Source organism: Homo sapiens, chromosome 17 (genome assembly GCF_000001405.40).
Source record: "Homo sapiens chromosome 17, GRCh38.p14 Primary Assembly".
In the NCBI taxonomy this organism is placed as follows: Eukaryota; Metazoa; Chordata; class Mammalia; order Primates; family Hominidae; genus Homo; species Homo sapiens.
The window spans coordinates 28,577,574-28,591,376 of record NC_000017.11 but is presented as its reverse complement, the minus strand read 5'-3'; the positions used below and the strand labels follow the sequence as shown (position 1 = coordinate 28,591,376).

Here is a 13,803-nt window from a genome sequence, read left to right as displayed (position 1 = left end):
GATCATTTGAGCCCAGGAGGCTAAGGCTGCAGTGAGCTATGATCATGGGCAAGACAGTGAAACCCTGTCTCTTAAAACAAAAAAGCTGAGGATCTGGAAAATCCCCTTAAAGCTGTGGGTAGTCACTCTACCCCTGGGGTACATCAGAACTTTCCAAAGGAGTGCAAGCAAGGAAACTTTTAAAGGAATTGGTTTTTAGATCATCATCTTCCACAAGTATTCTTTTTCTTCGTTTTTTGCATTGGTAGACTATATTTAATATTTTAAGAAAAATTATGAATAAGCCTAAAACATTTTTTAAAATAATTTTTAATTTTTGTGGTTACAGAGTTAGGTAAATATATTCATGGAGTCCATGAGATGTTTTGATATAGGCATGTGATGGTCAATAATCACATCATGGAAAATGGAAAATGGAGTATCTGTATCTGTCCCCTCAAGCATTTATCCTTTGTGTTACAAGCAATCCAATTATACTTTTAGTTTTTTTTTTTTTTTTTTTTTTTTTGAGACGGAGTCTCACTCTGTCACCCAGGCTGGAGTGCAATGGCCTGGTCTCGGCTCACTGCAACCTCTGCCTCCCAGGTTCAAGCGATTCTCCTGCCTCAGCCTCCTGAGTAGCTGGGACTACAAGCGCATGCCACCCCACCCGGCTAATTTTTGTATTTTTAGTAGAGACAGGGTTTCACTATGTTGGCCAGGCTGGTCTCGAACTCCTGCCCTCATGATCCACCTGCCTCAGCCTCCCAAAGTGCTGGGATTACAGGCGTGAGCCACTGCGCCTGGCCCCTGTTGTTTATGTGAAGAAGATTTCTCAGTGTTTACATCTGTCAGAATGGAAAGGAGTCAGCTGGCATAGTGGCTCACCCCTGTAATCTCAGTACTTTGGGAGGGTGAGGTGGGAGGATCGCTTGAGCTCAGGAGTTCAAGACCAGCCTGAGAAGTATGGTGAAACCTCATCTCTACAAAAAAATACAAAAATTAGCTGGGTGTGGTGGTGTGTGCCTGTAGTCCCAGCTACTTGGAAGGCTGAGGTGGAGGATCACTTGAGGCTAGGAGTTCAAGGCTGCAGTGAACTGAGATCTTGACACTGCACTCCAGCCTGGGCAACAGAGCCAGACCCTGCCTCAAAAAACAGAGTCACGAATTGTTGCTGAACTATTTCTTATTGCTGGAATTATAGTAATCCACAGATATACGAACTAATAAGGGGAAGGAATCTCCATCGATTTCATTAATAGGTGATTCCCAATTAAATTTTGCCGAGCATGTTTATTTTATTAGAAATTATATTACAGTGACTAATATACAACTGATTAAAAGATTTCTCTATCCTAAAGAAAGCTTTTTCACTTTAAAGCCTTCCGGTCAAAGGAATTTAAAGGAAATTTTAATTTAAATTTAGATGAACTTTCATTGTTGTTGCAGAGATGATGGTTAATAACAGATTTTATTTTTATTTTTTGAGATAGTTTCTTGGTCTGTCACCCAGGCTAGAGTACCATGTTGCGATCAGGGCTCACTGAAGCCTCAGCTTCCTTGGCTCAGGTGATCCTCCCACCTCAGCCTCCTGGGTAGCTAGGACTGTAGGTGTATGCCACCACACCTACCTAATTTTTTTGTATTTTTAGTAGAGATGGGGTTTTGCTATGTTGGCCAGGCTGTTCTCAAACCCCTGGGCTCAAGTGATCTGCTAGCCTTTGCCTCCCAAAGCACTGGGATTACAGGTGTGAGCCACTGTGCCCAGCTAATAACATACTTTAAAGCATAAAAATATATTACATTAGGCTGAAATTCTGAGAAAAATAAAAAATATATGTTCAAAGAGAAAAAGGGATGACATAATAAAATTTCTGACTGCTAAGAAGAGCTTTTTCTTGTATTTTTAAAAGATAGCAACTAGGTATCTCATCATTTTGGTGTATGTAGTATTTATGCCACTGGATATATTTAAGAGTAATCTAATAATTTTATTTTAGGCTGGGCATGGTGGCTCATACCTGTAATCCCAACACTTTGGGAGGCCGAGGCGGGAGGATCACCTGAGGTCAGGAGTTCAAGACCAGCCTGGCCAACATGGCGAAACCCCGTCTTTACTAAAAATACAAAAATTAGCTGGGTGTGGTGGAGGGCACCTGTAATTCCAGCTACTTGGGAGGCTGAGGCATGAGAATCGCTTGAACCCGGGAGGCAGAGGTTGCAGTGAGCCAAGATCGCGCCACTGCACTCCAGCCTGGAGGATAGAGTAAGACTCTGTCTCAAAAAAAAAAAAAATTATTTTAAATTGTCAATATTGGTAATATGCTGGACATTACAGCCTTTGCAACAATTTAAACTTAAGGGTACTTAGTTTTTGCAGGAAATATTAGAGGAAAGTAGCTAAAAGACCACTGTTGGCCCAATGTGGTGGCTCACGCTTATAATCCCAGCACTTTGGGAGGCTGAGGCCGGCAGATCACTTGAGGCCAGGAGTTTGAGACCAGCCTGGCTAACATAGTGAAACCCCATCTCTATTAAAAATACAAAAGTTAGCTGGGTATGGTAGTGCACTCCTGTAATCCCAGCTACTTGGGTGGCTGAGGCATGAGAATTGCTTGAACCTAGGAGGTAGAGGTTGCAGTGAGCCGAGATCACCCAGTGTACTCTAGCCTGGGCAACAGAGTGAGGCTGTCTCAAACAACAACAACAACAATGTTCTAGAGGATTGTATTACAACACAGGCCTAAGAAGGAAGGGAATGGTGGCAGGTGAAGGAATTGATAGCACCTCACCATTGTGGCTGTTGAGATAATAGGTGGCTGCTGCTAAGAAGAGATGGTCCCCAAATGTGCAGAGACCTCCTTTGAGTTGAAAATATCCTCAAAGTAATGACCTTACCATTTGCCAAAAATCCTGGAAACCATAAGCTCCATGTTCCTCCAGCTGTTCAATTTCCCTCCTGTTTTCTTATCTTTGTGTCCTTTCCTCTTGTTCTTGACCTTGTTTCCCATCCCTGAATCTGCCATGCATCCTCTTCCCCTGAAGGTTGCCAGGTCCCTTTGTAGGCCACTGAAGCAGAACCAAAGAGGGGAAATGACATACCTTTAGCCATTCTCCATCAGCATGCCATGTCCTTGCTGCCTGGCTGCCTCCTTCACATTAATCTCATCACCTGCCTGACTGTCCAGCTGAGCACGATGTGAGCCCTATCCAAGCTCATGTGCTACTCTGTGCCTTATTTCACGATGCAGCAGTGAATGATAACTGCTTTGCTGGGGAAGGGAGCCATGAACTCCAAGAAATCAGCAGTGCTGCTCCAGTAGTAACTTTTCCCCCAGATGATGGCTGCCTTGCCTCAGTAATGAAGACTCCCACTTTTCTCTTAGAACTTGTCTTCTGGGGTTCTACTGCCTTTGAGATCATACCTACTTACTCTATGCATACTATGAGTTTTATCTATCTGACCCAGGATAATGAGCAGACAATTAAGAAAGTAAAAATGATGAATAAATACCTAAGAAGGTTAGCATTATTGGCAATAAAAAATGCAAATTGAACAGTGAGATGCCATTTTCTTGTGACTCAATAGCAAAGAATAAAATAGGTAATGCTGGTAAGCATACTCTATTTATCTGCAGGATATAAATTGGTTCATCCTTTTTTTTTTTTTTTTTTTTTTTGAGACGAGGTCTCACTCTGTTACCCACACTGGAGTGCAGTGGCACGAACATGGCTCACTGCAGCCTCTACCTCCTGGGCTCAAGGGATCCTCCCACCTCAATCCAGCTGAGTAGCTGGGAATATAGGCATGTGCCACCATGCCTGGCTAATGAAAAAAAATTTTTTTTTTTTGAGACGGAGTTTTACTCTTGTTGCCCAGGCTGGGGTGCAGTGGCGTAATCTCGGCTCACTGCAACCTTGCCTCCCGGTTTCAAGTGATTCTCCTGCCTCAGCCTCCGGAGTAGCTGGGATTACAGGCACGTGCCACCACGCCTGGCTAATTTTGTAGTTTTAGTAGACATGGGGTTTCTCCATGTTGGTCAGGCTGGTCTCGAACTCCCGACCTCAGGTGATCCGCCCGCCTTGACCTCCCAAAGTGCTGGGATTACAGGTGTGCGCCACCGCGCCCAGCCTTTTTTTTTTTTTTTTAGAGATGGGGTTTCACTGTGTTGCCCAGGCTGGTCTTGAACTCCCGGACCCAAGTGATCCTCCTGCCTCAGCCTCTGAAGGTGCTGGGATTACAGGCATGAGTCACTGTGCCTGGCTAAACAAAGAAATTTTTTACCTACCTGTGGATTTTTCTTTCTGACTTGGCTTCATTGAATTGAGTACTTTGCTTCTGCTTTTAATAGGAAAGGTGGCTGGGTGTGGCAGGAGCACTTTGGAAGTCCGAGGCAGGAGGACTGTTTGAGGCCAGGAGTTTGAGACCAGCCAGGGCAACATAGCAAGACCTCATCTCTACAGAAAATAAAAAATAAATAAAATAGGAAAGGCTCCTATAACTCACTGGGTGGGAGGAAGAATGAGGTGCTGGTGGTACATGTTGCCTACTCAAAAGGAACAACTTGGCTGGTCATGGTGGCTCACCCCTGTAATCCCAGCACTTTGGGAGGCCGAGTCGGTGGATCACTTGAGGCCAGGAGTTCAAGACCAGCCTGGCCAACATGGTGAAACCCCGACTCTACTAAAAATATACAAATTAGCTGGGTGTGGTAGTGCATGCCTGTAATCCCAGCTACTTGGGAGGCTGAGGCATGAGAATTGCTTGAACCTGGGAGGTGGAGGTTGCAGTGAGCTGAGATTGTGCCACTGCACTCCAGTCTGGATGATAGAGCAAGACTCTGTCTCAAAAACAAACAAACAAACAAAACAAGGAACAACTCTGTTTTTCTGGCTAGATAACTAATAAACTTCAGCATCTTAAGGAGAGCCATGAGATGGGACAGGCCCTACAGCAGGCCAGAAATGTCATGGTAAGTGATGATTGACCTTACACCACCACTGGGTCTCCTGTGAAGATGAAGAATGGAGAATCCTGGGTGGTTAGTAGATGGTGATACTAAGTCGTGGTGGTGAAGGGAGGTTTCCAAACATTTGTAAAGTACATCTCCTTATGCGGAGCTTGGAATTGGGGTTAGCGGTTTTCCTCCCCAGTGCCCCTGTTTCCTGCTTAGTGACTTTATTTGATCTCACCTACCCATTTTTTTCTCTACAGCAATCATGGGTGCTTATCTCTAAAGAGCTGATATCCTTGCTTCACCTATCCCTGTTGCATTTAGAAGAAGATAAGACTACTGTGAGTCAGGAGGTAAGCAGCCTGAAGATGGAGGTGGAGGCCTGTGGTGGGACTAAAAGCCATAAAGAGGAACCAGACACATTAACTGATTCTTACCATATAGTCTCGGCGTGCAGAAACATTGGTCTGTTGCTGTTTTGATTTGCTGAAGAAATTGAGGGCAAAGCTCCAGAGCCTCAAAGCAGAAAGGGAGGAGGCAAGGCACAGAGAGGAAATGGCTCTCAGAGGCAAGGATGCGGTAAGGTGACAGGCATTTGTTCTTGGATGTGGGAGGTTTCCACCTCAAGGTTCCTGCAGGAACACAAATGCACTTTAGACACAGATGGGTGGCCTAAGAACTGCCTGCCCTGGGCAGTAAAGAACTGATCTATTGAGGTGTCATGGTTACATCTTTTTGTGCTGGCTCCCCTGTTGCCCACTGTGGCCTTGCAACCACTTCCCTCAATAGGCAGAGATAGTGTTGGAGGCTTTCTGTGCACACGCCAGCCAGCGCATCAGCCAGCTGGAACAGGACCTAGCATCCATGCGGGAATTCAGAGGCCTTCTGAAGGATGCCCAGACCCAACTGGTAATTTAAGGGCATTTTCTTTCCTGGGGTCTGTGCTGACAGACTGGGAGGGTAGTTGCATACTCCCACTTTGCTGTATCCAAAGGGAAGGGGTTCCCGCCTAGGCAATCTTTCTTTTGTAGGTAGGGCTTCATGCCAAGCAAGAAGAGCTGGTTCAGCAGACAGTGAGTCTTACTTCTACCTTGCAACAAGACTGGAGGTCCATGCAACTGGATGTGAGTATTTGGGACCATCATAACTAATTCCTTACTCACATCAAGTCCTGTTGTGAGCTTTGCCTCAAGTGTGCTCTACTGACCTGCTTGCTTCCCCTGGTAGTATACAACATGGACAGCTTTGCTGAGTCGGTCCCGACAACTCACAGAGAAACTCACAGTCAAGAGCCAGCAAGCCCTGCAGGAACGTGATGTGGCAATTGAGGAAAAGCAGGAGGTACAAACCAAGAGTGGGGACTGCTTAGGCTTGGTTTCCTTCCTAATGTGTGATACCATTAGCCTCTTACCCTGGATCTGTTTTCTTTTCACCCTGTGGGTTTGGAGGCCAGCCAGTAAGGTCTCTTAGCTGTAAGATGGCCTTAAGCGCAGTTTTTTCCTTTGCCCTTCAGCATCTTTACTTCAGCAACTTTTCTCCTGTCTCTACTTTTTCCTGAGGATCAACCTTATTTTCTGCAATGTTGATGCCCAGGAGCAAGGTAGTTTTCTGTCTTGTCCAGAAAGAGAAGCTGGACCAAGTCCTGGGATTATTGATTCAGGAGGAACTATAGGAGGAAAACCATCTGTTCTTCCTAGGTTTCTAGGGTGCTGGAACAAGTCTCTGCCCAGTTAGAGGAGTGCAAAGGCCAAACAGAACAACTGGAGTTGGAAAACAGTCGTCTAGCAACAGGTGTTTGTGTGTGTGTGTGTGTATGCATGCATGTAAGCATTTGAGCCCTGTTAAGGCTTGGAGTGTGGCACTAGAGCAAGGAAGTACTCAGGAGCACTTGCTTTGGAGCAGAAGTTTGGGGAGTTTCTAGCCTGCTGACCGCATGGTGTCATTAGGATACTTTTGTTCTAGATCTCCGGGCTCAGTTGCAGATTCTGGCCAACATGGACAGCCAGCTAAAAGAGCTACAGAGTCAGCATACCCATTGTGCCCAGGACCTGGCTATGAAGGATGAGTTACTCTGCCAGCTTACCCAGAGCAATGAGGAGCAGGCTGCTCAGTGAGTTCCTAACGGGGTACTGTGGCAGTAGGCATCCAGGATTTAGGACCAAATGGGATCTAATATGTTGTCTCTGGCAGATGGCAAAAGGAAGAGATGGCACTAAAACACATGCAGGCAGAACTGCAGCAGCAACAAGCTGTCCTGGCCAAAGAGGTGCGGGACCTGAAAGAGACCTTGGAGGTAAGGAATATGGCTTGGGCCAAGGGAGCTGGTAAGCCTCAGGAGTGTGATTCTTGCCTGATAGTGTTGAGGTAAGGTTTGAGACTGTGAACTAGAAAAAGCCTCTGTACCCAGGGCACTAAAATTCTCCCTCCCTGTCTTGCTCCTTCTCTTGTCTTCCCAGTTTGCAGACCAGGAGAATCAGGTTGCTCACCTGGAGCTGGGTCAGGTTGAGTGTCAATTGAAAACCACACTGGAAGTGCTCCGGGAGCGCAGCTTGCAGTGTGAGAACCTCAAGGACACTGTAGAGAACCTAACGTAAGTTCTCTAACTTTCTGTACTTCCCCCTAAGTGCTTATTTTTTTCTCAGGAACACTTCTAGAAGCCAAAATCTCCAAGAAGAGAACTGTGAGTGTTGAGCCTCTTGTTTCTCTCCTTTAATGCAGCTCTGTGGGGATTTGGGATAGGCGTTCAGAGAAGGTAATTTGGTCTTTGGTCATCTTCCCTGTTCCTTATTTCAGGGCTAAACTGGCCAGCACCATAGCAGATAACCAGGAGCAAGATCTGGAGAAAACACGGCAGTACTCTCAAAAGCTAGGGCTGCTGACTGAGCAACTACAGAGCCTGACTCTCTTTCTACAGACAAAACTAAAGGAGAAGGTAGGATCCTGGGGTTCCTTCTCTTCTCTTCCAATTGTATCTTTATTTTACAGATAGTCTTCCTAAAACATTACTCTTTTTCTAACTGTGACCTTTTATGATTTCAGTTACCTACAGGACCTCATTAGCCTGTTGCTCAAACCTTTCTTCCCCTGTCTCCTATCTCCCTATTATGAACACTTTGCCCCAGCTAGACTGCCTGTATGCTACACACATGTCCCCATTTTTATCCCCAGAACCCAGACTCTGGCTGTTCCCACATTCATTCTATTCTTTCTTCAAACTGGAAATGCCTTTTCTATTAAAATCCTCCCTTCCGACCTGGGCAACGTGGTGAAAACCATCTCTACAAAAAAATACAGAAATTAGCCCAGGTGTAGTGTTGTGAACCTGTAGTCCCAGCTATCTGGGAGGCTGAGGTGAGAGGATCACCTGAGCCTGGGAAGTTGAGGCTGCAGTGAGCCATGATCATACCTGGCTAATTTTTTTGTATCACTGCACTCCAAACTGGGTGAGAGTGAAACCCTTTCCCCCACAAAAAAAGAAATCTTCCCTGGTTTACCTTCTTTGAACTGTTCCCAAATCAAATCATGTGGACCCGGTGATCTTTTCTTCTGCCATATTTCTCATGAACTTACTCTTCTTTTGTATTTGTATTAATTTTCCTTGGATACCTGGTCTCTTCAACCAGACTATGTTTCAAGAAAGCAGAAATATAGCCTTCTTTGGCCTCCCTGCAGTGTGCACTAAACAATAAATGGTTGACATCATTCAGAATACAAAGGTAATTAGCTTATTCAGCAGATAAGGCACAACAAATATCCTAAAATCTGGCAATTGCTTATGACCTGATCCTCTTCCCCAACTGGGTACCGAGCACAGGAAATGCCATCAAATCTACAGTTTAGCATGGAAGACAAACAGATGTAAACTTGTCATCTTGACTTATGATCATGGTAGAGGTCTGCATGGACCACTGTGAGAGATAGAGAGGGGAGCACCACTTCAGCCTTCGAGAATTAGGATGCCTTCTCAAAGCAGCTGACCTTGGGTACAGTCTTGAGGTTTAGACGTTTGTGGGGCAGGGGAGGGTATTTAGGAAGTCCCACTAGGCAGAGGGAACGGTGTATGAAAGTTTCATCTGACTACATATGAGAGTCGTACGTAGAAAGTCATGCACATAGTACATGATGTGTTCTTTTTTATAGTGTCTACCTTATAAAACCTGGGTTAGGTGCTGGGACTAGAGGATGAACAAGGCAAGATGCTGCTCATATGGAATGCAGCAAGTCTGAGGAATGGGAAGCAGCTCTTCATGGCTGCAGCGTGAGAGCTCTGTGGGGCAAGGCAGGAGACAACACTGGAGAAGTAGGCAGGAGGCCAGATTTTGAAGGCTTGAAATAATGGCAGTTTTATAGGCAGTAGAAAGGAGAGGATGGAGTGAATGGATTCAATAGATATTTAGGAAGCAGAGGCAGTAGAACCAATTTGATGTAAGAGTGACCAATTTGATGTGAGAGTAAGTTAGAAGAGTGAATGATGATCCTTAGATTGCTAGGAAAGAGGGCCCAGCGGGTCAGCTGTGTTAGTGTGTGGAGACTAGGGCTAGTGACACCTCCGGGTCAGCTCTGTGCCCAGGAAGCACTTCAACCTGTGTGGCAGGAGGGATAGCAATAGGAAGCACTTCAATTCCCCACAACTCAGACACCCAGACGGGAGGGCAGAGGACCAAGGCTGAAAGGAGTAGAGAGCCTGAGAGAGAGATGAGACTGAGGGGAGCTAGTGGTGACTCAGGCTAACCAGTCAGCGGGAGAGACCTAGACCGGGGGGCAGAGAAGGCGGGAGAACTGGAGAGAGGACCTAGCCTAGGAGGAGAGGGAGCAGGCTGAGAAGGAAATGCTCTGGGTAGGAGAGACAGACTCCAAGGAAAAATCCAACAAGTAGAGGAGGATTTGGGATTGGAAAAGCTGAGGTCCAGCTGGGAGAGCTGAAGAGGGATAGAACAGAAGAGGTTGAGCCATGGGGTTTCAAGTACGCGGAAAGGAGCAAAGATGTTAGGAAAGGGTCGAAAGGGCACATCCCGGAGTCCCAGGTAGCAGGACGAGGATGGCAGGGGAAGAGCCAAGGAAATGAAGCGGAGATGTTGAGTGGCTCCCGCCTTGCCTGGCCTTACCTGTGCGCAGCCAGTTAGCAGCCGCAGCCACAAGCACAGCTACTTCAGGACTGAGGCCAGCAAGCTTTTCCTATAAATGGCCATATAATAAGTATTTTTGGCTTTTTGGGCCATATGGTCTCTGTCTCAACTACTCAATTCTGCCTTTGTAGTTCAAGAGCAGCCATAGATGATACAGCCATTAATGGGTCTGGCTGTGTTCCAATAAAACTTTATTTACAAAAATAGTTGGCAGGCTAGATTTGACCTGTAGGCCACAATTTGCTAGCCTTCCCTCTCCCTGCTCTAGAATAGTAAATACAGGAGTAGGAACAGACTTTTGATAGGGTGTTCCCTATCAGGGCACAGGGAAAATGGTGAACTCAGCTTCATACATACTAAGTTGACAGATTGACTGTGGAACCTTCTGGTAGATTCTTCACAGGCAGTTAGCCTTTGAGTCTGCAGACTGGGAAAAAGACTGGGAAAAAGTTGAGAGAGGGATGGAAGAGTCATTCATGTGGAAGGGAAGTTTGAAGTAGATGTTTTTGTGATGCTCCCAAGGCAAGGCCACCCTGGGAATGAATTAGAGTAAATTTAGGGCCAAGGACTTAACCCAGAGGATCCAGCAGTTAAGGAAGGACCTGTGAATAGAGAAGAAATAACCAGAAAGGTGTGGGGCCTGCCTTTAAAGGAGAGAGACTCATGTCCTGGAAGCTAAGAAAAGGAAGTTTCTAAAAGAACAATGTGGTCATCAATATCAAATAGGTCAGGTAAAACAAGAGCTGAAATATATGCATTGCATTTGAAAGTAAGGCTGCCATTGGTGAACCAAATGACAAGAATTTAGGTGGAATGACAGGGGAGAAGCCTGAGTGTAGTGGGCTGGGGAGTCAATAGATGGTGAGAGTTATAAACAAGAAGTATAGGCTCTTTTTTTCTTTCTTTTTTCTTTCTTTCCTTTCTTTCTAGAAAAGGCAGTAGCTAAAAGGGGATTTAAGGTAAGAAGAAGGGTTTTGTTTTGTTTTGTTTAGGTTTGTTTTTAAAATACTGCTGTTTTTGTTGGAGAGGCTTAAGAATATAAACATGTTCAGAGAAAGGCACTAATGGAGAAGTTGAAGATAGAGAATTGAGATAATAGGTGGAACAGCATTTTGGAGGAGATGGCTGGGAGTTACCTGGAAGCCCAGGAGTTCACTAGACCTGAACAGCAGCTATTTTTTCTTCTTTGCCCTTAGACTGAACAAGAGACCCTTCTGCTGAGTACAGCCTGTCCTCCCACCCAGGAACACCCTCTGCCTAATGACAGGACCTTCCTGGGAAGCATCTTGACAGCAGTGGCAGATGAAGGTTAAAGGCCCTGGGATTTGGGGGTGGGAAAGTTGTGACGCTGCTCCTGATATCTTCTGCTGTTGAAGATGTCCACCAGCGGGCTTGTCTATCTTACCCTGGCTTCCATTATGGTAGACCCCTGCCTGGATCATCAGAGGGGCCCTCTCCCATTATTGGTTTTTCTCTTAGAGCCAGAATCAACTCCTGTGCCCTTGCTTGGAAGTGACAAGAGTGCTTTCACCCGAGTAGCATCAATGGTTTCCCTTCAGCCCGCAGGTTAGGAGGGGCTCCAGGGATCCTGCCTCATTTCTAGAAAATCTGGTGGTGATGAGTAAAGACGAAAGCAGTGAGAAGTGCTTTGCTCTAAAAACCTCAATTCTACTTGGGCTCATTTTATTTCTGCCTTCTGGGATCTGTAATGTTCCAGACATTCAAATCCTGTGGGTGGGGAACACGGATAAGAGTTGTGGAAATGATGGCTATACACTCCTTCCTTCCAGGGCTGGAAGGCTAGACCTCTATCTGGGACTTTCTCTTTCAGAGACCCCAGGCATGGAGGAGAGCCTGGCAGAAATGAGTATTATGACTACTGAGCTTCAGAGTCTTTGTTCCCTGCTACAAGAGTCTAAAGAAGAAGCCATCAGGACTCTGCAGCGAAAAATGTGAGTGGGATGCAGTTTTGGTGACAGAGGGACAGTGAGACATCCTCTTATGCCAAGGGTCCAACTGATCCCTGAGAGGACAGGAATGTTGCTAAATTCTTCCTTCCTTCAGTTGTGAGCTGCAAGCTAGGCTGCAGGCCCAGGAAGAACAGCATCAGGAAGTCCAGAAGGCAAAAGAAGCAGACATAGAGAAGCTGAACCAGGCCTTGTGCTTGCGCTACAAGGTGAAGGAGGGACCTAGAAGTGGGGCGATGAAGAACTGGGGCAGCTCTACTGGCCCACTGGGAGCCATTATCTCTCCAGGAATCTGGGTGGTGGGGATTTTCCAACCACTGCCCTAGTTTTGCCCTTCCTGGGGTCAGACATTTCACATGTCAGCTATGGGCTGACCTGTCTTCCCAGGCTGACTCAGGAGAGAAGTCAGGAACTCTAGCAGAGCTCTCCCAACACTGAAATGTGCCTTGCCTGGCTTGGCCCTGGGGAAAGAATTGGCGTGATATCAATTGGTCCCATGTGGGCTAAGCATGGGTCAGGCACTCTCTCCTACCTCCTGGCAAGGGCTGTGAAGAGACCAGCTCTTCATGTGTCTTCTCACCTCCCTTTCCCTCACAGAATGAAAAGGAGCTCCAGGAAGTGATACAGCAGCAGAATGAGAAGATCCTAGAACAGATAGACAAGAGTGGCGAGCTCATAGTATGTTCACCATCATGCCCAGGCCTTTGCCTTCTGTGTTACTGGTCAGCCAGGATCCCAAGTATGAGAAATGGTTTGCTTTTGTTCACCACATGTTGTCTATCCTTATGTCCTATTGGACACCTCTCCATTCTCATTCCCAGAGCCTTAGAGAGGAGGTGACCCACCTTACCCGCTCACTTCGGCGTGCGGAGACAGAGACCAAAGTGCTCCAGGAGGCCCTGGCAGGCCAGCTGGACTCCAACTGCCAGCCTATGGCCACCAATTGGATCCAGGAGAAAGTGTGGCTCTCTCAGGAGGTGACTCAGAGTTAACAGAGGAGCTGGACAGCAGGTGGGGACCCCAGGCTGTACCCCTGTTGATCTGGACATATTTCTAGGTGGACAAACTGAGAGTGATGTTCCTGGAGATGAAAAATGAGAAGGAAAAACTCATGATCAAGTTCCAGAGCCATGTAAGAATGTCCATGCCATTCCAGGGCCATTTCCTACCATCGTTAACAAATGCCCCGCCATGTTTCCCCTGTCCTACCAAGTTTGCTCTTTTATGCATAGGACTTATAAAATCTGTTTGCTTTCTAGAGAAATATCCTAGAGGAGAACCTTCGGCGCTCTGACAAGGAGTTAGAAAAACTAGATGACATTGTTCAGCATATTTATAAGGTATAGGCAGGAGGGAGGTGATATCACTAATGAACCTGGTACAAGGCCTGGCCCCAGGAGGTACTAATGAGCACAGATCTGGTTCCCAGCCTGTGCTGAGAGCTGGGCCTGAATCACTATTGCAGGCTTCTCTGTGGTGTCTGTTTTCTCCCCTCTAATTCAGCGGCTGCCTCCTGGGGCTGGGAGCCCTGGGCCTTAAGTCTGTGGTCCTGAGCTGCGTTTTCTGCCTCTCTTCCCAGACCCTGCTCTCTATTCCAGAGGTGGTGAGGGGATGCAAAGAACTACAGGGATTGCTGGAATTTCTGAGCTAAGAAACTGAAAGCCAGAATCTGCTTCACCTCTTTTTACCTGCAATACCCCCTTACCCCAATACCAAGACCAACTGGCATAGAGCCAACTGAGATAAATGCTATTTAAATAAAGTGTATTTAATGAA

At 46.4% G+C, this 13,803-nt stretch overlaps 1 protein-coding gene across 1 annotated transcript in view; it reads left to right on the top strand.

The window, feature by feature from the left end:
• The window catches only part of SPAG5 (sperm associated antigen 5), a 21,452-nt gene extending 7,649 nt beyond the window's left edge, over window positions 1-13,803 (top strand). The window contains exons 5-24 of the mRNA NM_006461.4: window positions 4,878-4,952; window positions 5,195-5,287; window positions 5,379-5,513; window positions 5,724-5,843; window positions 5,966-6,058; window positions 6,162-6,275; window positions 6,632-6,725; window positions 6,897-7,044; window positions 7,125-7,227; window positions 7,391-7,524; window positions 7,728-7,866; window positions 11,257-11,368; window positions 11,540-11,626; window positions 11,892-12,012; window positions 12,125-12,236; window positions 12,625-12,705; window positions 12,849-13,004; window positions 13,085-13,159; window positions 13,287-13,367; window positions 13,607-13,803. Coding sequence (NP_006452.3) covers window positions 4,878-4,952; window positions 5,195-5,287; window positions 5,379-5,513; window positions 5,724-5,843; window positions 5,966-6,058; window positions 6,162-6,275; window positions 6,632-6,725; window positions 6,897-7,044; window positions 7,125-7,227; window positions 7,391-7,524; window positions 7,728-7,866; window positions 11,257-11,368; window positions 11,540-11,626; window positions 11,892-12,012; window positions 12,125-12,236; window positions 12,625-12,705; window positions 12,849-13,004; window positions 13,085-13,159; window positions 13,287-13,367; window positions 13,607-13,678 — 2,145 coding nt within the window. The 3' untranslated portion in view covers window positions 13,679-13,803. The remainder of the gene's footprint in view (window positions 1-4,877; window positions 4,953-5,194; window positions 5,288-5,378; window positions 5,514-5,723; window positions 5,844-5,965; window positions 6,059-6,161; window positions 6,276-6,631; window positions 6,726-6,896; window positions 7,045-7,124; window positions 7,228-7,390; window positions 7,525-7,727; window positions 7,867-11,256; window positions 11,369-11,539; window positions 11,627-11,891; window positions 12,013-12,124; window positions 12,237-12,624; window positions 12,706-12,848; window positions 13,005-13,084; window positions 13,160-13,286; window positions 13,368-13,606) is intronic.